We start from the raw sequence: 23,546 nt of genomic DNA, 5'->3' as shown, positions 1-23,546 counted from the left end.
GTGACCCCTTAAAATCCAGACATTTTCTTCCCAAGTGGCTGGATTTCATCTGTTTTCTCACTCTGGATCAATATGATGGGGGAATTTAGCACTAATTAATATCCTTTTCTATCTCTGGTCCTATTAACAGTAAACAGACCCTTCCAGAGAACAAAGCAGTCAATTTAGCTAATCTCTGCCATTGAGCACTGACTAGGAGAATTACTACATAGCAAGGACAGTACTGAACCAGCTAAGCGTCATGGGCTGTGTGGTCAAACATCACTGTCACAAATGCATCCATCTCCCAAAGCAATCATCTCTATGGGCTATTAGCCACCCCCTGTCCATCTGCCTGCACAACCTTGGCTGAGAAGCAGTCATAAGCTATGTCTGCAACACAAAGACCAGTTAGAAATTGGCTGGAAAAATTCCACCTAATCTGCCTTGGGGTGGGGGTTACCATTTACAGTGTGATGTGATATCAGAATGGCAATCTCAAAAGAATCAAAGTGACTCTTTAAATCTCATTCCCTGACTCATCCTGGTAATTAAGATCCTACTTTAATCACCAGTCTAGATGGATGTGACATATCTCCCTTATAGTAAGTTAACAAATGAAAAGATAGCCAAGAGGAGGCCAAAGGACCAGGGAGAAAAACAAAAATAGGAAGACGTTTGTTATTTTCTGGCCATCTGGCAACCAACCATCCCACTCCCACATCCACACACTTTTTCAAATCTGTTCTCCCTTGTAGGAGATTTCGTATTGTGAATAGTGAGCCAGATAGGAGGCAAAGCTGAGGTGGATGGATGCTTCCTCTCTAGCTAATGAGGTGGACATGTACCAATCAGATGTTTGCTCTGGGGGCTTTGACTCTCCAGCTGGTTACACAAAAATGGAGGAAACAACGTGATCCCAGATTCTCTGCAGATGCTGGGGCTAAACAATGTCCTGGATGTTTCCGCAGCACCCCTTGTCCATGCAGTTAGCTCTGAGGCTCTGTGCTTCTTTGCTTCCAGACAGTCCTCCCTGTCCACACAGCCTCCCAGACCATCAGCAGCCTCAAGACCCTCCCAAGGCAGAGTCAGTGTATTAGTCTGTTTTCACGCTGCTGATAAAGACATACCCCAAACTGGTCAATTTACAAAAGAAAGAGGTTTAATTGGACTTTCAGTTCCACATGGCTGGGGCAGCCTCACAATCATGGTAGAAGGCATGGAGGATCAAGTCACATCTTATGTGGATGGCAGCAGGCAGAGAGGGCTTGTGCAGGAAAATTCCCCTTTCTAAAACTATCAGACCTCATGAGACTCATTCGCTATCATGAGAACAGCACGGGAAAGACCTGGCCCCATGATTCAATCATCTCCCACCGGGTCCCTCCCACAACACATGGGAATTATGGGAGCTACAAGATGAGATTTGGGTGGGGACACAGAGCCAAACCATATCAGTCAGTTTCTGCTGCATGCCACCAAAAGTCCTGATAGACATGGTAAGAATCCACCTCTCAGTCCATTCTTCCCATCCACGAGGGTAAAAAGAAGTGAAGCTAAAGCCTGCTATATTTCCTGTGAAAACACTCTGAGAATTTCATGGAGTCTCCAGCTCTTGGGATTCACAGAATTGTTTGTATTTCACATATCCATCCATTTTTCTTTAGTCTTTTGTAGTTCAGTAAATGAAAGCACTTGGCTTTAGCAGTAGCTCTGTTTTTATGTTTGCAAAGGTCTTTTTCATTATTTGTGAATTTATCTCCAAGCCACAATCTAGGTAAGATGGAAACAATTCTCCTCTTCTGTTCATAGAGTCAGAGATGTTAGTAAGGAGAAAACTTTAGAGGCAATCTAGTCCAACATCCTTATTTTACAAACTAAGAAAACATTTCTTCTTGGGAAAAGTAAGGAAACTGTATATGAAGAGTTAACCTTTGTTCCAAAGTTAATCATGACTTTAGGATTTAAAAACAATTTCTTTTTCTCCACACTATGAGGTATGTCTCAAACTTAATTAGATTAAACTTTTCTAAGAACCCTAGGGTTAAGTTACCTAAAGTATATGCATACAGACACATGTCATTTTTCACTTAATTGCTGAAACAGTCTCTTAACTGGGCTTTTCACTTAAAATCTCTGTAAGATACCCCCAGCTCCATTCTGCCCTAGCCTACCCAACCCACCACCAGCCCAATCTCCACACAACCATAACAGCAATTACTCTAAATGCAAATCTGATCATATTGCTCCTCTGCTTACATTCAGTATTAGCTGCCCTTCTGTAATAGGCAGAATAATTGCCCCCCAAAGATGTCCACATCCTAATCCCCAGAACCTGTGACTATATATAATCTTGGATGTAAAGAGAGAATGAAGATTGCAGATGAAATTAAAATTGCTAATCAGCTGACCTTGAGATGAGGATGTGATTCAGGATTATCCAGGTGGACTCAATTTAATCACATTTCTACTTTTCTTAAAGGTAGAAAACAGAAGCACAAGTCAGAGGGAAATTTAAAGACATTATGGTGCTGCTTTGCAGATGGAGGAAGGGGTGACAAGCCCAGAATGTAGGTGGCCTCTAGAAGATGGAAAAAGCAAGGAAATGGAGTCTCCCCTAGATGTTGAAGAAAGGAATGCAGCCTTGTTGACACTGATTTTAGCCTAGTGATAGCTGTTTTGGATTTTTGACCTTCAGAACTATAAGATGATAAATTTGTGTTCAGCCAAGTTGTTACAGCAGCAATAGGAAGCTGTTACATCATCACACACGAGGCCTTTGTATTAGTCCATTTTCACGCTACTGATAAAGACATACCTGAGACTGAGAAGAAAAAGAAGTTTACTTGGACTTACAGTTCCACATGGCTGGGGAGGCCTCAGAATCATGGCAGGAGGTGAAAGGCACTTACACATGGTGGCAGCAAGAGAAAATGAGGAAGAAGGAAAAGCAGAAACCCCTGATAAACCCATCAGATCTTGTGAGACTTATTCACTATCTTGAGAACAGCACAGGAAAGACCAGCCCCCATGATTCAATTACCCTCCCCCTGGGTCCCTCCCACAACACGTGGGAATTTTGGGAGATACAATTCAAGTTGAGATTTGAATGGAGACACAGCCAAACCATATCATTCCACTCCTGACCCCTCCAAATCTCATGTCCTCACATTTCAAAACCAACCACGCCTTCACAACAGTCCCCCAAAGTCTTAGCTCATTTCAGCATTAACTCAAAAGTCCACAGTCCAAAGTCTCATCTGAGATAAGGCAAATCCCTTCCACCTATGAACATGTAAAATCAAAAGCAAGTTAGTTACTTCCTAGAAACAACGGGGGTACAGGCACTGTGTAAATATAGGCATTCCAAATGGGAGAAATTGGGCAAAATAAAGGTGTTAGAGGGCTCATGCAAGTCTGAAATCCAGCAGGGCAATCACATCTTAAAGCTCCAAAATGACCTCCTTTGACTCCAAGTTCTCACATCCAGGTCATGCTGATGCAAGAGGTGGGTTCCCATGGTCTTGGGCAGCTCCATCCCTGTGGCTTTGCAGGTACAGCCTCTCTCCTGGCTGCTTTCACAGGCTGGCATTGAGTATCTGTGGCTTTTCCAGGCACACAGTGAAAGCTGTCAGTGGATCCACCATTCTAGGGTCTGGAGGATGGTGGCCCTCTTCTCACAGTTCCACTAGCAAGGCCCCAGTAGGGACACTGTGTGAGGTCTCTAACCCCACATTTCCCTTCCACACTGCCCTAGCAGAGGCTGTCCATGAGGGCCCCACCCCTGCAGCAAACTTTTTCCTGGGCATCCAGGCATTTCCATACATCTTCTGAAATCTAGGCAGAGGTTCCCAAACCTCAATTCTTGACTTCTGTGTACCCACAGGCTCAACACCATGTGGAAGCTACCAAGGCTTGGGGCTTCCACCCTCTGAAGCCACAGCCCGAGCTGTACGTTGGCCCCTTTCAGCCATGGCTGGAGCAGCTGGGACACAGGTCACCAAATCCCTAAGCTGCACACAGCACAGGGACCCTGGGCCTAGCCCATGAAACCACTTTTTCCTCCTGGGCTTCCAGGCCTGTGATGGGGGTGGCTGCCATGAAGGTCTCTGACATGGCTGGGAGACATTTTCCCCATGGTCTTGAGGATTAACAATAGGCTCCTTGCTACTTACGCAAATTTCTACAGCTAGCTTGAATTGCTCCTCAAAAAAATGGGTGTTTCTTCTCTACTCCATTATCAGGCGGCAAATTTTCTGAATTGTTATTCTCTGTTTCCCTTTTAAAATGGAATGCTTTTAACAGTTCCCAAGTCACCTTTTGAATGCTTTTCTGCTTAGAAATTTCTTCCACCATATACCCTAAATCATCTCTCTCAAGTTCAAAGTTCCACAAATCTCTAGGACAGAGACAAAATGCCACCAATCTCTTTCCTAAAACATAACAAGAGTCGCCTTTGCCCCAGTTTCCAACAGGTTCTTCATCTCCATCTGAGATCACCTCAACCTGGATTTTATTGTCCAAATTGCTATCAGCATTTTGGGCAAAGCCATTCAACAAGACTCTAGGAAGTTCCAAACTTTCCCACATTTTCCTGTCTTCTTCTGAGTTCTCGAAACTGTTCCAGCCTCTGCCTGTTACCCAGTTCCAAAGTTGCTTCCACATTTTCGGTTATCTTTTCATCCACACCCCACTCCTGGTACCAATTTACTGTATTAGTCTGTTTTCATGTTGCTAATAAAGACATATCTGAGACAGGGAAGAAAAAGAGGTTCAAGTGGACTTACAGTTCCACACAGCTGGGGACATCTCAGCATCATGGTGGGAAGCAAAAGGCACTTCTTACATTAAGGCAGCAAGAGAAAATGAGGAAGAAGCAAAAGCAGAAACTCCTGATAAACCCATCAGATCTCGTGAGACTTATTCACTATCATGAGACTAGCACAGGAAAGACCAGCCCCCATGATTCCATTACCTCCCCCTGGGTCCCTCCCACAACATGTGGGAATTCTAGGAGATACAATTCAAGTTGAGATTTGAATGGGGACACAACCAAACCATATCAGCCTTCAATAATGAAACTTTGCTTACAGTTCCAGCCTCATCTGCCTCCACTCCTCCCCTTCCATCCCACACTGGAGGGTAGCTCCCCCAGGCCACTACATATACTACTGTTCCTCTGCCAGGAATGCCTGCCCCAGTTTCTCACCTAGTGCTGTGGTTTGAATATGGTTTGTCCCCAGAAAAACTCATGTTGAAACTTGATACCCAGTGTGGTGGTTTTAGGAGGCAGGGCCTAGTAGGAGATGTTTGGGTTCTTGTGGCAGATTCCTCGTGATACCTCAGCAGTAAGTGAGTTCTCACTCTCACAGGAATAAATTAGTTCCTATGAGAGCCAGTTGTTAAAAAGAGTCAGGCCTGTAATCCCAGCACTTTGGGAGGCTGAGGTGGGATGATTGCCTGAGACCAGGAGTCTGAGACCAGCATAGGCAACAAAGCAAGACCCCAATCTACACACACACTATATATATGTATGTATTTTCCAGGAACAGTGACAGTGCACCTGTAGTCCTAGCTACTGTGGAGGCTGAGGCAGGAGGCTCCCTTGAGCTCAGGAGTTGGAGGCTGCAGTAAGAGGTATTATTGTGCCACCATACTCTAGCCTGAGTTCAGAGCAAGACCTTGTCTCTGAGAAAAAAAAAAAGTGTTCTGGCTTCCTTCATTTTGCTCTCTCTTCTTCTCTCACCATGTGATTTCTTGCACAACCCACTCTGCCTCCATTTTCTGCTATAAGTGGAAGCAGCATGGCAGCATGGAAGACCAGATGCAGCTGCCCAATCTTGAACTTCCCAGCCTGCAGAAACATGAGCTAAATAAACCTATCTTCTTTATAAATTACCAGCCTCAGGCATTCTGTTATATCAATGCTAAATGGACTATGACATCTAAGTAATTCCTACTCAAGTCTCACATCGCCACTGGGAGCTCTCCCTGGTTCCCCAGGATAGGTTCACTCACTGCATGGTACCATGTGCTTACCTTTGTATGAGCACTTATCATGCTGTATGCTAATGTGATTATTTTCTCCTCCCCCAATGAAACTGTCAAATCAGACCCAAGTCCTAGTGCAACACATGGTTGAACAAATGACTTAGCATATAAATTCCATGAAGATAGATATTTTTGTCTATTTTATTTGCTGCCGATCCCCAGTATCCAGAACAATGCTTGGCACATACTAGGCTCTCAATAAGTAATTGTTGAATTAATGAGTGAAGAAATTAATGAACGAACAAAAAAATCCAGGCATAGTCTTGGACATGAAGAGGGAGCAAGGAGGTTCCCTACACAGTCCTCTCTGAGCAGCTCTTTCCCAAGCACATGGAAAACGAACCAGCAAATCTAAGGTTGTATGTTTGTGGAAGTGCCTTAAATCTTACACCGATGAACCCTCTCCAAAAGTGCAAATATGCACATTCCCAACACTGCTATAAAGATAGGAAGTGAGATAAGAAGAGGCAGCCTGTGTTGCCACATGTGGATTCCAGATGTTAGTTGGACTAGCTTGGCCCATAAGTGATAGATGAGGTCAGTTTGACCCTTTTCCATAGCCTGCAGAGATTCAAAATCTAGCAAAAAAATGTTTTATTCTCATGGTCACTGCTGGCTCTGCCTTATGGTTTTTCAACCATGATACTTAATTATTCAAAACACAAACCAAAAAATCCAGCTCTTTGTATTGTTTTAGTATAATAGACTTTAAGTACTTGTGGGATGTGAGGGAGGGAGGCTTGCAGAGTGTGGGAGGGAAAGGGAGAGCGGGGGATGGGATTTTTAACAGCTACTTGATGAGTTTTTAGTCCTGCCATGTCTTACATTTTCATTAAATTTCATTTAATTTTTGTTAAGTTCTGTGTGTATGTGTGTGTGTCTGTCACACACACACACACACACGTATAGAAAAAATGAAATTCCCGTTTGTCTTTTTAGTTCACTGTCACCTTTTATCCCAAGTGGCTTACGAAGGATAATCTACCTTAAAAGGTTTTAGTAAAATAGCTCTTTTAGAACCTTTTACTATGACCTGGCATTCTTATGCAAATATAAAAATTATTTAAGTAAAAATTAAAAAGAACCTTGACTGCAGATAAGGATCTTGCCTCTTATTGGTATCTGCATTTCAAAAATGCATATTCTTGAACTAAACTTGGCCCATCTGCTGGCTTTTCAGAATGAGGACTTTCCCAGATAGCTTATTGACTTCATCTGCTCCCAGCCCCTGCTTAGTCTGCCTGGTGCCTCCAGATGTGCTCAGGTGCCCTCATCCTGAACATCACAGCCTCCTTTTTGCCTTAGACCTCAATTACAAACATATAAACCGATATGTTTCAACCAATACACTTTGTAATTCATTTCAAACAAACCAAACCACATAAGTAATAAGTAAATTTAGCAAGATTGCAAAATGCTAGGTCAATATACAAAATCAAGTGTATTGCTGTATATGACCAATAAAAATTTGAAAAATAAACTTGTAGGAAAAGTCATTTATGAAAGCATAAAAATACAAAATATTTAGGAATACATTTAACAAAATACGTATGAGACATATAAGCCAAACACTATAAAATGCTGATGAGAGAAGACCCAAATAAAATTAAGAGATATATAATGTTCATGAATCAAAATCACTAAGATATAAGCTCTCCACAAATTGATTTATAGCCCTAATGCAATCCTCATCAAAATCCCAGAAGGATGGTTTTGTGTAGGAATTAACAAGCTGATTCTAAAATTCATACCCTAAATCAAAGAATCTCAAATAGCCAAATCATTTTATATATTTAAAAAAGTATAAAACTGATTTTACACTCCTGGATTTCAAAACTTACTGTAAAGCTACATAATCAAGAAGATATGGCATTAGTGAAAGGATAGACTTACAGATCAATAGTACGCAACAGAAACAGAGACACATGTACAGAGTCAACTGACTTTTGACAAAGACACCAAGATAATCGAATAGAGAAAGGATTTTCAACAACTGATGCTGAGACAACTAGATTCTTATGGGGAAAAAATGAATATTAACCTTTATCTTAAACTAAACACAATTAACTCAGAATAGATCATAGACCCAAATGTAAAATCTAAAACTATAAAATTTTTAAAGCCAGAGAAAATGTATAAGGTCTTAGAGTAAGTTAAAGTGAACACATGTGTCAGAATTCATTGAACCTTACTTTTAAATTAGGTACAGTTTATTTTACATGAATTGCACTTCAATACAGTCGACCAAAAGAGAAAAAATATGCATTTGGTGCTTAAATGAATTATTTAAATGAATAATTTTCCATTATCTTTTTTGCTCTTTCCTTCTGCTTTAGCCACATTTGCCTTCATTCTAGTCTCCACCTCAAAGCCTTTGGTCTTGCTGTTCCTGTGCCTGGAATGTTCTACTGACACCCACCACAGGCCTGGTTACTTCTCATCATTCAGGCTTTGGTTCAGATGGGATCTCCACAGAGAGGACTTTCCTGCTGTCTTAGATAGTCCATGCCATGTTCACATCTGTCTCCTGCCTCCACCAGTCAAGCTCTATCCTGTTTCTCTGTTTGTTTTATTAATAAAATAAGAATTGTTGACAATAAGAGTACATTGGTTTATTGAGTTTATATATCCACCACTGGAATGTGAACTATGCAAGGGCAGGAACTGTCTCTTCACCACTCAATCTCTAGCACTTAGAACAATGCTTGGCACAAAATAGGAATTTATAATTTTTTTAAGATAAATGAATAAATGGATATTATCCACACATTTTACCAGTATTAAGTTTTCCTTGTTCCTTATTAATTTCCAATCAATGAGATTGTTACTGCACCTGCTATTCATATTTATAGATTTCCTTTGGGTCACCAGTGACTTGCTTTCTCATACAAAGTACATCATTTTAATCTTAGTTTGGGAAGCTTCTATGTAAGTATTAGACATCCTTATTTCCCTGCATAAATAGCCAAGTTGGAATCAAATTATTCTTTGTGCCCTAATACAAATGCATGAAGGGGAGAATTCTCTGAGACCTTTAAAAAATTCAAGATGACAACTGTGTCTAGTTTCTGTTTACTCTGGCATTAAAACCTTCCAAGATTTCCAAGCATCTGTAAACAGGGTCAGCCTTCCTTTCCCAAAACCCAGAGTGTTCTTGACTCTAGTTGTGCTTCTCTAACGTCCCCCCACTACAATTTCTACCACTCCTGAAGGTGAAAATCAAACTGTTCTATTGGATTGAGATTTATTTACATTTCCTTTGCATTTCCTTTTGGGAGAAGGAGGCCATTCCTAATGGAATAGTAGAGTTCTAGTCCTACCGCTGTATTAATCCCAGTAGTATCTGAAGTTATGCAAAACAATATGAAATTTGTCTCAAAGTACATATGATTTTGAATAAACTTGTTTCACCAGGAGAGAAAACTTAAATATAAAGTGAGTTTGGATCATGCTGCAATTGTAAGAGAAAGACGAATATTTTGGGACCAAACTTCCTTAGGTAGAACTTATCATCTTATATGAGCTCTAAGCCATATTCCAAGCTGGTAACTGAGAAGAGACAGACAAATAGAAAATAAAGATTTATGCTGGCCGGGTGCAGTGGCTCACACCTGTAATCCCAGCACTTTGGGAGGCCAAGGGGGCTGGATTCCTTGAGGTCAGGATGTTCAAGACCAGCCTAGCCTGGCCAAAATGGTGAAACCCCTATTAAAAAAAAAAAAAAATTAGCCAGGCGTGGCAGCACGTGCCTGTAATCCCAGCTACTTGGAAGGCTAAGGCAGGAGAATAGCTTGGACCTGGGAGGCGGAAGTTACAGTGAGCTGAGATTACGCCACTGCACTCCAGCCTCACGGACAGAGTGAGACTCCTTCCAAATATATATATATATTTCATTTTGTTTTAAAGAAATCCAGTGACAGAAAGAAATCCTGGAAAAGCTGCAGGAGCATCAAAAGGCAGGTCAAATTTTAAAATATTTGAAAGCACGCTAAGGGTTGCCAACTGAGAACTTTAACCCCAGAAAAAGCAAAAACAAGTTTTTTTTCTGAGTGAAATATAAAGGTAATATTATTTTTTCTAGGAAGAATAGTGAGGCTGTCAAGGTGTCTTCTGATCTGAACTTACAGGTGAGTTCTGAATTGTCTGAAGAAGCCAGAAAGAAAAAACTTAGGTAGTCAATATTCAAATAAAATAAGAGAGGGGTGGATTCTGGTGTACGCATTTATAATTGCTTCCACTGGAGTGAAGTCATTTCATAATTCTGATTGAAGAGATGTTTTATGCTAGACCTAGTCATCTTTCATTCATTTTTTGGTCCCACAACGTGATGTATACTAGACTGTATACTGTCTAGGATCTGCAGAAAATAACAAGTAAAAAGACTTTGCTCTCTAGGAAAAAATCTTCAGAGGCGAAACCCATGAATCACTGGGTAGTAGCAGAATTTATAAACACATGAGCAATACAGAAGCTAGAGGAAGAAAGGGATGCCCTATTTCATCACATGGGAATAAAATGACTCTTACACACTCAAGTAACCATCAGAATTTTCAGGAAATTATTCCTAAAAGGAAAATTATGGTGTTTTACCGGAAGGATAAATGGATGCTGGACATACAAAACTAATGGTTTTCACTAGAGTCACAAGCCACCTCCCCAGCCACTGAGCTGTGCTCATCTTACTGGAACCTCACTTCCATCCAATGGCTGCCCACTCTGAGAATTGACATTGATATTTCGGTGCCTCTCAGGCAAAGCAACAATGGGTCTCAACTCTTTCTATCTATGACGCCCTCTATAATATTAGGATTTATGGCAGTATTCTCAAAAGGATGAAAAATTCAAAATAACATTCAATGAGTTAGCAATAATGACAACATAGTCATTATTAAAGTTTAGTCATCTCTCACAGTGTTATAAAGCAATCCTCTATTTACAGGGTCAGAAGTGTTTAGAAGCCTAACCACACCACCTTTTCTATTCCTGAGGGACATGTTTGTGTGTTTAAGGAAACATTTGATCTGTGGCTCTCTTCTTCTGCCTCCTGCTTGCAGATAACTAAATCCTTTTGTATATTGTTTCTTGCTCAATGAGCATTTATGCTGTGAAAATTTATTGTCACACCATATATGCCCATTAGTAGCAAAATTCATAGCAAATTAGTAGTGAAAAATTAGTACTAGCAGAAGCCCACACTACACCTTGACCATAGTTGACAGCAAAACCACGTAAACCATCTCTGATCCAAAGCCCAATGTAACATTTTCCAAACCGTTCTCTCCTGCAGGATGTCAATATGTGTGCTATGTTATATGAGAGAAAGGGGGTTATTATCAGTCCAATGTGTTTGAGAAATACTGTGTTGGACAAAGTTAAACTAATTTCTATTCTGTAAGCCTCTAATATGCCAATGTGCATACACATCTCCAAGAGGGAGATATAATTATCAGTGTTTACCAAAGTTATTTGACCATGAAATCCTTTGACTTACAAAAATATTTTAGGACCAATGTACCATGAAATATACTTTGGCCTCCTCACTCTTCCCAATTCCTATGCTGCCGTGATGCTCGGTCCTCCAGCCAAATCTCTCTCTTCCTTCCTCTTCCCCGTCTGTTTCCCCACCTTAGTGATACTGCCTGCCTGCATCCCATACCGTAACCACAATAAGCTCACCATTCCCTAAATCATCCAAGTACGTTTTTTAAAACTCAGCTTGAAATATGTTGCACTTATATTTCTGCCTTGGGAACTTTCCTAGCTCCCCTGGAAAAAAAAATTAATCACTCCCTCCTCTGTACTTCCTCTGCAATTAAAGTGTGTACTTATTTTTACAATTACATTTTGTTATAATTTTTATTCGCAAGTCTTTTTCTCTACTGTTTTTGTAGCTAGTCATAGGCAGAAAATAAATTATTTATGTCTGTATTCTCAGTGTCTAGCATAGGTCTGGCTATAACAGAAGCAGAAAACCTATTGAATTTAATTCAGTTGAGCCAACTGTGCAAATGTCCATCTGCAAAAAATAATAATCTACAGCATTGCATTAATATTCAGCATGCTTCATATGGGTGTGTTCAATATAACGTAATATTTGGTTTATTGACTCATTCATTCCTTCAAAAATTATTATTCGGTGAACATAAGCTTTGTGCAAGATATTCTGGAAGCATGCAAAGTTTACTCAAACATAGTTACAATCTGAAAGCTTTGGGCAAGTCAGAAAAGGTGACATCATCCTTGACAGTGACCTTACCTAGTTGCTCATATTCAAACTATCAACAAGGATCACCCACCTTAAGTATTTCTCAACTCTGACCCTTGTCCATCACCACTGCAACCTTCCTACTCTGAGGAACCAGCCTCTATCAACCTGACGACTGCAAAAGCCTGGTTTCCCCACAACCATTCCACACCCATCCAATCCCTACCCCACACAGCAGCAGAGTGATCTTTTCCAAATGCCAATCTGAGTTTGTCATGTCACTGTTTAAATCCCTTCAATGGTTCCCCCATTGCTTTTAGCATAAAGACCAAAATCCTTAAAATAGCTGCAAGATCTTACATGATCTGTCCCCTAAAAATGGCCAATTTCATCTTGCAGCATTTGCCATATCCCAGCAAAACTGACCTTTCTTTTTTTTTTTTTCCATCCTTTGAATCTGTGTTTATTCTCCCTGGAATGATCTTCCTTCTCACTTCATGCTTAGGTAACTCCTTTTTAAACTTTAGAAAAAAACTCAAGCACTACTTTTTTAAGAAAGAACCCCCTGACCCCCCACCTCCAGTCTAGGTCAGGGTTTTTTGTGAATTTGCCTTCAAAAGAAACGTGTTTCTTTCACAGCAGATAATTCAATTTGTAATTATACACTTATATTACATAATTAATATCTGTCTCCTCCACTAAATTGCAAGTTTCATAAGAGCACAGCTTTTTTTTGTTGTGCTTGTCATCCTACACTTAACATCTAACACAAATAATATGTATAACAATATAAATAATATAACAGAAATAAATAGGTGCCGGCCAAGGCAGGCGGATCACGAGGTCAAGGGATCGAGACTATCCTGGCCAACATGGTGAATCCCCCTCTCAATTAAAAATACAAAAATTAGCTGGCCGTGGTGGCACACACCTGTAATCCCAGCTACTGGGGAGGCTGAGGCAGGAGAATCACTTGAACCCAGGAGGCGGAGGTTGCAGTGAGCTGAGATCATGCCACTGCACTCCAGCCTGGCGACAGAATGAGACTATCTCAAAAAAATGAAAAATAAATAAATAAATAAGTTCCATAGAAAAGCTCATTAAACTGTTAGCTGAGATTGTAAGAGGGAGAGGTTACATTTAGCTGGAGAAACTGGGAGAGGCTCTAAAGCAGTGGAAGTCAACCTGGCTGCATCTTGGAGCCACCTGGGAACCTCAGAAGATACTGACGCAGGTTCCTTAGAAAATTAAACATAGAATTACCATATGATCTGCCAATTCCACTTTTGGCGTATATACACAAAAGAATTGAAAACAGGGACTCAAACAGTTATTTGTAAACCCATCTTTATAGCAACGTTATTCACAATAGCTAACGGGTGGGGGAAAAAGCAAGTGTTCATGAACAAATTAATAGATAAGCAAATGTGGTCTAAACATACAATGGGATAATATTGAGCCTCAAGAAGGAAGGGAATTCTGATACATGTTGTAACATGGGTGAACCTTGAAAACATCGCAGTAAGAGAAATAAGTCACGAAAGGACAAATATGATAGAATTCCACTGTTATGAGGTACCTAGGATAGTCGAATTCTCAAATAGAGACAGAATGTAAAACAGTGGTTACCAGGGGTTGGGGCGAAGAGGGGGAGTTGGGGAGGTGTTGTTTAATGGGTAGAAAGTTTATGTTTGGGATGATTAAAAGTTCTAGATATAGATGGTAACGATGTTTGCACAACATGTGAATGTATTTCATGCCACTGTACTCTAAAAATGGTTAAATTGGCAAACTTTATGTTATCTATATAATTTAACATCATTTAAAAGATCCTAATGCCCAGGTCCAACCTCTGATTGAAGGTTCTGATTGAATTGCGCTGGTGTAACGCTTGGACATTGGGATTTTTTTTTAATTGCTCAGGTGATTTATTGTGTAACCAAGGGTGAGAAACACTGGTTTAGTGAAAAAAAAATTTGTAAGTTAAACACTTAAAGGTGGTAGCCTCGTTCAAGGAAGGGAATAACATAAGGTGAGGAGACAAGAACATATGTATTATTTATGAGGAAGAGTAAATAGCTCAGTTTCACTTAAAAAGAGTCTGTGAAGGAGAATTCGGTTCCAGCTCTGAAGAGTTTAGAATTCTGGGCAAAGATGTCTGAACTCTTGATTCCACACTCCCCAAGGAGCCAATGAAGGCTTTTGAGAGAGGGAATAAAATAATCAAAATTATAGTTTACAACAGAAATGAAATTAGTATATCAAAGAGACATCTGCACTCCCATGTTTATTGCAGCATGATTCACAATAGCCGAGATATGGAATCAACCTAAATGTCCACCAGTGGATGAATGCAGAAAGAAAATGTGGTACAGATACCTAATGGAATGTTCTTCAGTGATTCAAAGGAATGAAATCCTATCATTTGCGACAATATGGATGAAACTAGAGGACATTAAGTCAAAGAAACCAGGCACAGAAGGACATACACTGCCTAATTTCACTCACATGTGAAACCTAAAAAAGTTGCTTTCATAAAAGTACATAGTAGAATCGTGGCTACCAGAGGCTGGGGAAAGTAGGGAGGGAAGGATGGGGAGAAGCTGGTCAATGGGTACATGTTACAGTTAGGAGGAATACGTTAAGGTATGCTATTACATAATAGGGTGATATAGTTAACAATAATGTACATTTCAAAATATCTAGAAGAGCGAATTTTGAATGCTCTCACCACAAAGAAATGATGAGTGTTTGAGATGATAGATATGCCAATTACCCTGATTTGGTCATTACACATGTATACATGTATTACAACACCACACCATACCCCATAAATATGTACAATTATTATGTGTCAATTAAAAATAAACTAAAGCTTTTTAAAAATGATGGTTTAAGAATAATGGCCTGAGGGAAGTTTATAAAATAGCCTAAAAGGAGAAGAGAGGTGGAGATCCCCTGGAGGATTTATAAGGAACCAAGTAAGAGGTCATGAAAACCTGATGTGGGTCCAGCAGAGAGAATAGAGAGGAAGGAAGTGAAGCGAGAGGTTATGGGGGTTGAATCAATGACACTCAGCAAATCAGTCATACGTTTGACTGGCAAAGGCAGATCCATGCCTCTTTCATGTAAGAAACAGTGAAAGAAAAAAGGAGGAAGTCCTCCCAGATCACTCGGTTAATTAACTGGAATTAACATAAACCTTCATGCCACAACCTTCCTTTTCAAAGCATTATTAACATATCAGCAGTAACTAGTTGTAAAGCTCCCTGGAATCTGCTTAGCCCAGTTAGACAGACACTATTCTTAGCCTAAGTCACGGTATCATGTGTGCCAAAATATTGCAAAACCAGAGCTTAAACTGGAATAGGGTGGGAATAGCACAAGTCACCAGCAGCTTCATTATGTTTCAGAACAGTCACAGGAGAAGGTGATAGGAGGGGGCCCCTTTGGTGGGAAGAGCCAAAATCTCACACTCTGTCATGACAAAACTCAACATTCCTGGGGGAGCCCCCAGACGGCAAGTCCTCCAGCTACATTCCCATGTGATTTCTCCTCACTTTCCATTATGAGAAATGTGTGACCATCAGCTAAGGACTTACAGGACTGGTTTCTTCACTCTGAAAACTGCACCTCTAGATTCATAGACCCACCCTTACTCTGTCCCCTACAATCCAATTGATGTACATGAGCACACTGTTGAAAATGTGTGAAGAAATTCTGTAGCCCAATTTATGAATAACTAGTGAAATCACAAGTAAAGTGACACATTTTTCAGTAAGCACCTAAAATCTGTTCTGCACTCCTACAGGCATCCCTCCTTTAAGGTACCTGTGCACATCTATCTAAGCTCTGACCTCCAGTTGGACAGGGGTCCCTCCTCACCCTCCATTGCTCCCACTTCTTGAGTCAGACTTAACTTCTCTGCTAACCCCCTTCACCCCTAGAGAAATAGAATCTTTCCTTGGCTAGGAACCCAGGCAAAATTGCTTTGACTTCTGGTTATGGTTGCTATCCTAGCATCTCTATCCACAAAAAACTGATATTCCCAAATATCAATTATTCCAGGTAGAGGTTCTTAATCCATACTTGTTTCCCCAGCAGGGACATTTCCATCATTATCTCCTGGGGACCTTTCGCCCCTTTCAGCCCAGCTTGGCTTTCCCATTTTCTTTTTACCTCCTCTCCTTCCTCCTCTTTCACAGGCTGTTCTAATCAGCCATTCCCTTACCCTCTTCACTCTGATTAATTAAACTCATCTTCATTATATTTCAGAAATGGAAAATAAGATTTCTTTTACATGTCAAATTTCATTGCATGCTGTTGCTGTGGTCCTAAGATGAGAAAGATGCTGAGGCTAAATTTGTGCTCGACCAGAAAAAATATTATGACAGATGAGTGATGTCTGCTACAGGTGGAGATGGGTAGGTGACAGCATATGTATTCAATAGTGGCATGATTTTCCCACCATCTTAGGGCCAGACACTTTGGACAGGTATTACAGGACTACTTTGTCTTGCCCTGCCCCATTCTAGGCTGGGATCGCCCCTAAATCTACAAAAGCTTATCTGGAATAGGTGTGCTTGTGTTAGTTACCATGAGCAGTATGTGGTAAATAAACTGTTTCCAGAAAGGGAATATTAACAACAGAATGGAATTTATGCCTGTGGCACACAATGAGGGTCTCTGTATTAGTCAGGGTTCTCTAAAGGGACAGAACTAATAGGATAGATGTATATATGAAGGGGAGTTTATTAAGCAGTATTGACTTACGTGATCACAAAATGAAGTCCCACAATAGACCATAGGCAAGGTGAGGTGCAAGGAAGCCAATCTGAGTCCCAAAACCTCAAAAGTAAGGAAGCCTACAGTGCAGCCTTTAGTCTATGGCTGAAGGCCCAAGAGCCCCTGGCAAACCACTGGTGTAAGCCCAAGAGCCCAAAGGCTAAAGAACTTGAAGTCCGATGTTCGAGGGCAGGAAGCATCCAGCACGGGAGAAAGATGAAGGTCAGAAGACTCACCCAGTCTAGTCCTTCCATGTTCTTCTGCCTGTTTTATTCTAGCTACACTGGCAGCTGACTAGATGGTGCCTACCCAGATTGCAGGTGGGTCTGCCTCTCCCAGTCCACTGACTCAAAGGTTAATCTCCTTTGCTAACACCTCCACCGACACACCCAGGAACAATAATTTGCATCCTTCAATCCAATCAAGTTGATAGTCAATATTAATCATCATAGTCTCCATGCTGTAAAATGTCCCCTTTCCTTTCTGATTCTGCAGCAGTAGAAGCTCACCCTGGCTGGGATAGGTGCCAAACAGTCAGTGATGAAGGAGAGATGGCTATGAAAACTGGAGCCGAAGCTGGTGAGCCCAGGGTAGTTTGCCAGAAAATGAGGTCCAAGGGGCATGTATAGGTAAGGAGGATCTGAGATGAATGTGAGGAATTTGGAATTAGGAAATGAAGCCAAGGTTTTCAAGAACACAAGAGATAATAGGGTTTTAGAGACAGAATAACTAGGTGACTCTTCCATTTCAAGAGGCAAGGGCTGTAAACATCTCTTTTGCCTTTATTTGAGTGGACACCTAGCAAGTAGAGTCTACAATAAACTTCTCTTCCCAGTAAGCCAGGATACAACCCATTATCAGATGGGTATCTGGCTGCCTAGCTTCTGTTCTCAGGAGTGCCAACGACTCTCTCTAGCTTCCTTTCACTCATCACAGTGTAACAGGGTTCCAGAGCTGGGCCTCACTGCTCAGGCCCAGGAAGTTCAGATCTGCCTGAGCATGGTCAAGGGACCAGCAGGGACCTGCTGCCCTGATCATTGCTCATTAAAGCCCAGGGGGTTTCACGGGAGCATCTCATAGGGTCAGCTGGTGCGGAGATCTATTTGGAAAGTCTAAGCCCCTTGAGCTGCTGGTCAAATAAAGGCCATTGTTCATAGGGAAGGAAGATTGGGAAGGAAATTATGAAGGGAAAGGGTGGAGGGATAGAGGTACAAGAAGTACAAGCTTGGTGTGAGGTCAACAGTTGAGAGCGGAAGGAAAAGGCTCTCAAGGGTATCCCGGGGAAGGAGGAGTCAGGTATGTTTCCTGCTCAGCCCCTTCGGGTTTTGTGCCAAAGTCTAAGGAAGCAGAGCCATGATGAAAAGCAAGGCCCTTAAAAACCAATGAACAAGCAAAAGCTCTGCTTTTAAAGAGAAAAGAGTGCAAACCAGCCCGACCCTGTGGCCTTCACAATAGAGAAAAATGGACATGGAAAATGTTTGTTCCCACTTCCTACAAGGTCTGAGGTACAAAGTATGAGAGGAAAAGGATACAACAGCAGAGGTGACTCCACTGGCTCAGTGGGGCCCACTCACAAGTGGGAGAGGACCCAGGGCAGCGGGGAGCCCCGTGGGAACTCCTGGGAAAGGCTGGGGCACAGAGCGAGTGGAAGAAGAGGGTGTTCACAAATACCAAGTCATCCTCAGCTATCATGGCCACAGGAAGTGAAGCCATGGTTTCAGAAGTGCTGCACAGAGGGACTAAACTACAGGTGGCTTTAGTGTGACCTTACTGCATTCCCACCTTTGTGTGAGAAATCTGAATGACATCTAAATCTAGAGGTCTTAACTCAGGCAGTGGCTTTCATACTACATTCTGAGAGGCTTTGGGGTTTCATGGGTGGTCCACAGTGAGACATACCAGTTGCAGACATGTAAGGGCTGGCCTAGGACCTCCCAACTCTATCTCTTAAAAATAATTATATTTACCTTTTTTTGTATGACAGCTCCTCATTTTTTCCTCTTAGAATGCTCGCTCCTGGAATTCTGGCTCCCAGAATCCAGCCACCATGCTGTGACAGACTCAAGCCACATGGAGAGGTCACCTATAAGCGCTCTGGTCAACAGCCCCGCTGATCTTCTAACCAACAATGGCACATTCCTTGCCTGTTGGTTGGAATGAGCTATTGCAGCCTAATCAAGCACCCCCCTCCCCAGATGCTGCACTTCCAGCCACATCGGGTGGAGCAGAATGGCCCAGTGCAATGGCCAGCAACACACATAGCTGTGAGAGACCTCAACATTGCAAAAATAGGGTCATGAGGTTAGCAAGATGGCCAAGAAGGAAGCTACAGGCTCTTGCCCATGGAAACATTATGCATGCAATGATATAGGAACCAAAGTAGCTTTGTGGGAATTATAGAAACCAGTTAAGGATCTGCAGCAACCAAGAGAATTCCTAACCAAGAAGAAGTCACACTCTAAACAGTAGAAAATTTTGTGGTGTTTTCACTTGCCCTTGCCCCATCCCCTCCCCAGTGCAACAAAATCAGGAGGAAGCCAGCCAACTCCCAGTGCCTCCCTCGGGATGGAAGGGGAAAATGTAGAGCTTGTTAGTAACCCAAGCATTGATGGGGGCAGTGGCATAGTTTGGACATAGTTTGGAGGCTGCTGAAAGCAGTGGTAGACTCCACAGAGCGTGAGAGCTGCAGGAGATCAGGCAACAAAAGAAAAAATAGATAAATTGGACTTCATTAAAATTTAAAACTTTTATGCTTCAAAGGTCACCATCAAGTAAGTGAAAAGACAATCTTCAGAACTGGAGACATTATTTTTAAATGACATATCTGATAAGGGACTTATGGAAAGACAATATAAAGAACTCTTACAACTCAATAATAAGGAAGTAACCCAGTTTAAAATGAGTAAAAAATCAAACACACATTTGGACAAAGAAGATATAAAAATGGCTAATGAACACACGAAAAGGTCCTCAACATCATTAGCCAGGGAAATGCAAATCAAAACTACATGAGATATAGCAGAGAAAGACTCTACATTAAAAACAACAACAACAACTATGCCAGCTACCTCTTCACAAACACTAGGATGTCTCTATTCAGAAAAACAGATGGCTGGGCACAGCGGCTCATGCCTGTAATCCCAACACTTTGTGAGGCCCAGGCAGGAGGATCACTTGAGGCCAGGAATTAAAGACCAGTCTGACCAACATGCTAAAACCCCGTCTCTACTAAAAATACAAAAATTAGCCAGGTGTGGGGGTGTACCTGTAGTCCCAGCTGCTCAGGAGGCTGAGGTAAGAAAATCATTTGAACCTGGGAGGCAGAAGTTACAGTGAGCCGAGATCGCACCACTGCACTCCAGCCTGAGTGACAGAATGAGACCCTGTCTCAAAAAAGAACAACAAACAGATAATGTGGAGAAATTGGAAGCTTCATACACTGCGAGTGAGGATGTGAGGTGGTGCAGCCACTTTAGAACACACTCTGTCAGTTCCTCAAAGAGTTAAACATAGAGTTACCGTATCACCCAGCGGCACTACTCGTAGGTATCAACCCAAAAGAAATGAAAACATAGGACCACACCAAAACTTGTACATGAATGTTCGCATTAGTATTACTCATAATAGCCAAAAAGTGGAAACAACTCAAATGTCCATTAACTAATGAATAAATAAACAAAATATGGTATATCAATAAAGTGAAATGTTATTCAGCAATAAAAAGGAATGAAGCAGTGGAAAGTGCTACAATAGAGATGAACCCTGGAACATTATGCTAAATGGAAGAGGCCAGTCACAAAGGACCATATATTACATTATTCCATTTATATAAAATGTCCAAAATAGTCAATTATGGTTACAAAGGACAACCTACTGTATCCTCATGGTGGTGAAGCCATTCTGTATTTTGACTTTGGTGGTAAATATGCCAGCCTACACAGGCAATAAAAATTGCATAGTGCTAAATACAAACACACACATGCACAGACATAGACACACACATAAGCCCAAGTAAAATGGAGAAAATCTGAGTAAGATTTGTATCAATGTCAATATGCTAGTCTTAATGTCGTATTACAGTTTTACAAGATGTTATCATTGAGGGAAATTGACAAAGGATACACAGAATTTCTCTGTATTACTTTTTACAACCACATGTGAATCTAAATTATCTCAAAATAAAAAGTTTGATTAATAATAAATAAAATAATACAATAAAATAACTTTTTGACCAAAAAAAAAAAAAACCACTGAGCAGAAGAAAATAAAAAAAAAAAGGGATTATAGTATGCAGAAGACACAAAGCCTAACCTAGCTAACACTTTTTTTTTTTTTTTTGAGGTGGAGTCTTACTCCCGTCATGCAGGCTGGAGTGCAGTGGCATGATCTCGGCTCACTGCAACCTCTACCTCCCAGGTCAAGCGATTCTCCTTCCTCAGCCTCCCAAGTCGGTGGGATTACAGGCACGCACCACCACACCTGGCTAATTTTTGTATATTTAATAGAGATGGGGTTTCATCATGTTGGCCAGGTTGGTCTTGAACTCCTGACCTCAGGTGATCCACCTACCTCGGCCTCCCAAGGTGCTAGGATTACAGGTGTGAGCCAACACACCCGCCCCTAAAAATTTAACTTAAGCCAATAGAAGCATATTAATCACACTCATTTCTTGCTAGAGTAAATTGGAATAAAAATATCAAATCAGTAAGGCAACAAGAAAATGAGATTTTAAAAAGAATTTCTTATAAAATACAACATTATAGAGCTAATATAAAATTAAAACAATAAAAACTGGTGAATATTAAATTACTGACAATATCGCAAATAAAAAAATTAAATAGGAGACAATATATGTGGTAGATAAACATAATCCAATATAAGAAGAATTGATGTATCTGAATTGAAAAACCACAAAATAGAAGATATATTCAAAGATATAAGAGAATTATCTGAATTTTAAGATATCACTGAAACTGCAGATAAAATTGAACCATGTTCCAGGAACATTCCAATTCAGTTAATATCAAAGTTTACCCTATGTACAGTATTGAACTTGAAGAAAATCTTCAGGCACCTGCCAGGCAAGATAAATTACCTAGAAGGAAGAAAATCAAGTTGGTTTCAGACTTGCTGCAACATCATTCACTGCCAAAAAATAATAAAGCACTGAAATCAGGCTTACTCACTATAAAAATATGGCTCTGTGTACATCTTACTCCAGACAAGTATAGGCAATAGAAACAATAAAGCAGAAGACTGAAGCTGTAAATTTGTGTCATGGCAATATAACAAAGAAAGGAATGTGAGAAAAATTTAATGAGCTCATTTTCTGAAACTGCAGGTAGTATGAAATTAATAATGAAATATGATCAGTAGTTTAGGGGATACAATACAGATATTATCAATCAGCAATTACTTTTGTGTCCAGAATTTTACTGCAACCCTCCACACCCCTATAGCTATGTCTCACTTTATGGAGAGAAGTTCAATGCTCAGTGAGGTTAACTTGCTCTGAATCACACAGGTAGGCCCACAATTTGAACTCCGTTCTACCTAACTCAAGGCCGATTCTTACTTAACAAAACCATGTAATCTTATGTCTAGATGGTGAAATTATACATGGTTTCAATTTTCTTGTTTTCGCTTATTTTTTTTCTGAAGTTTCAACAATAACATATGCTGCTTTTGCTATTTTTTTAAAAAGTAGGAATCTTTAAAGATTCACACAAAGGTTATTTTTCATAGGAGCAATATATAATCTCTAATCTTTGGAATTTTAACTTTCATGATGCCAGGATAGTGGTTGAAACTGGTTGGTCATTTTTCTCACCTTTTTACTCTTTTTTTGTGGGGATGCGGCAAGGGGGAAGTAGGTTAAATACAAAATAAATTCAGAAATAATAACCACAAATTCAGAAATTAAACTGGCTGGGTTTTACTAGTCTAGACTGACACAGTCTGTTTTCTGGAAATCTGCCTAAGCCTTCTGTCTTTTTTTTTTTTTTAACTGTTTGAATAACACACACACATACACACACTGCCACTGCTTCCACTTGGCACAGTGAGGCTGTATGGATTGAGGCAATAGAGAGATTCAGGGCTCACCCTGATCCAGGGTAAATGCCACAGGGGCAGGCAAAAGTCTTCCCGCATAGAATACATCCATCACAAGCCTGGTCAGAAATAAGCCTCCTCTGGAAGGAGACAAGATGCAGACGTGCGATGACAGACTCAACTGGGCATGTTCAAATCTCTCACCAGAAAAACAGCCTCTGTCTGTCAAGTTCCTTGAACTTTTGAGTTACTGGCTGGGGTGCCAAGCAAAGGGCTCAGCCAAATCCTGAGCAGAACTCCTTTCCTCTCCAAAGAGCCAGTAAGGAATCAACGATGAAGAACTTGCCAATTTTCTGTCACTTGGAGAGTTTCCAAGCTTAGGATCCTGTTCAGAGGACCAAAGTCCAAGAGGCTTGAGTAAAAAGAGCAAACAGAACTCTCTTAACTCTTACAAAATATCACTAAAATATGT

General features: G+C 40.8%; 2 annotated features.

The window, feature by feature from the left end:
- Positions 23,402-23,546: an enhancer, noted in NCBI's record as "145 bp enhancer 108 fragment used in the MPRA reporter construct; PK_construct_2063". NCBI's record gives its function as "activates an SV40 promoter by MPRA in HepG2 cells {active_cell/tissue: HepG2}" and the evidence as "EXISTENCE:reporter gene assay evidence [ECO:0000049][PMID:23512712]".
- Positions 23,468-23,481: a transcriptional cis regulatory region, noted in NCBI's record as "HNF4 motif; enhancer activity is reduced when this motif is scrambled". NCBI's record gives its function as "necessary for full MPRA enhancer 108 activity {active_cell/tissue: HepG2}" and the evidence as "EXISTENCE:site-directed mutagenesis evidence [ECO:0005528][PMID:23512712]".

Source organism: Homo sapiens, chromosome 8 (genome assembly GCF_000001405.40).
Source record: "Homo sapiens chromosome 8, GRCh38.p14 Primary Assembly".
NCBI lineage: Eukaryota > Metazoa > Chordata > Mammalia > Primates > Hominidae > Homo > Homo sapiens.
This window is presented reverse-complemented; position numbering and strand designations above follow the sequence as displayed.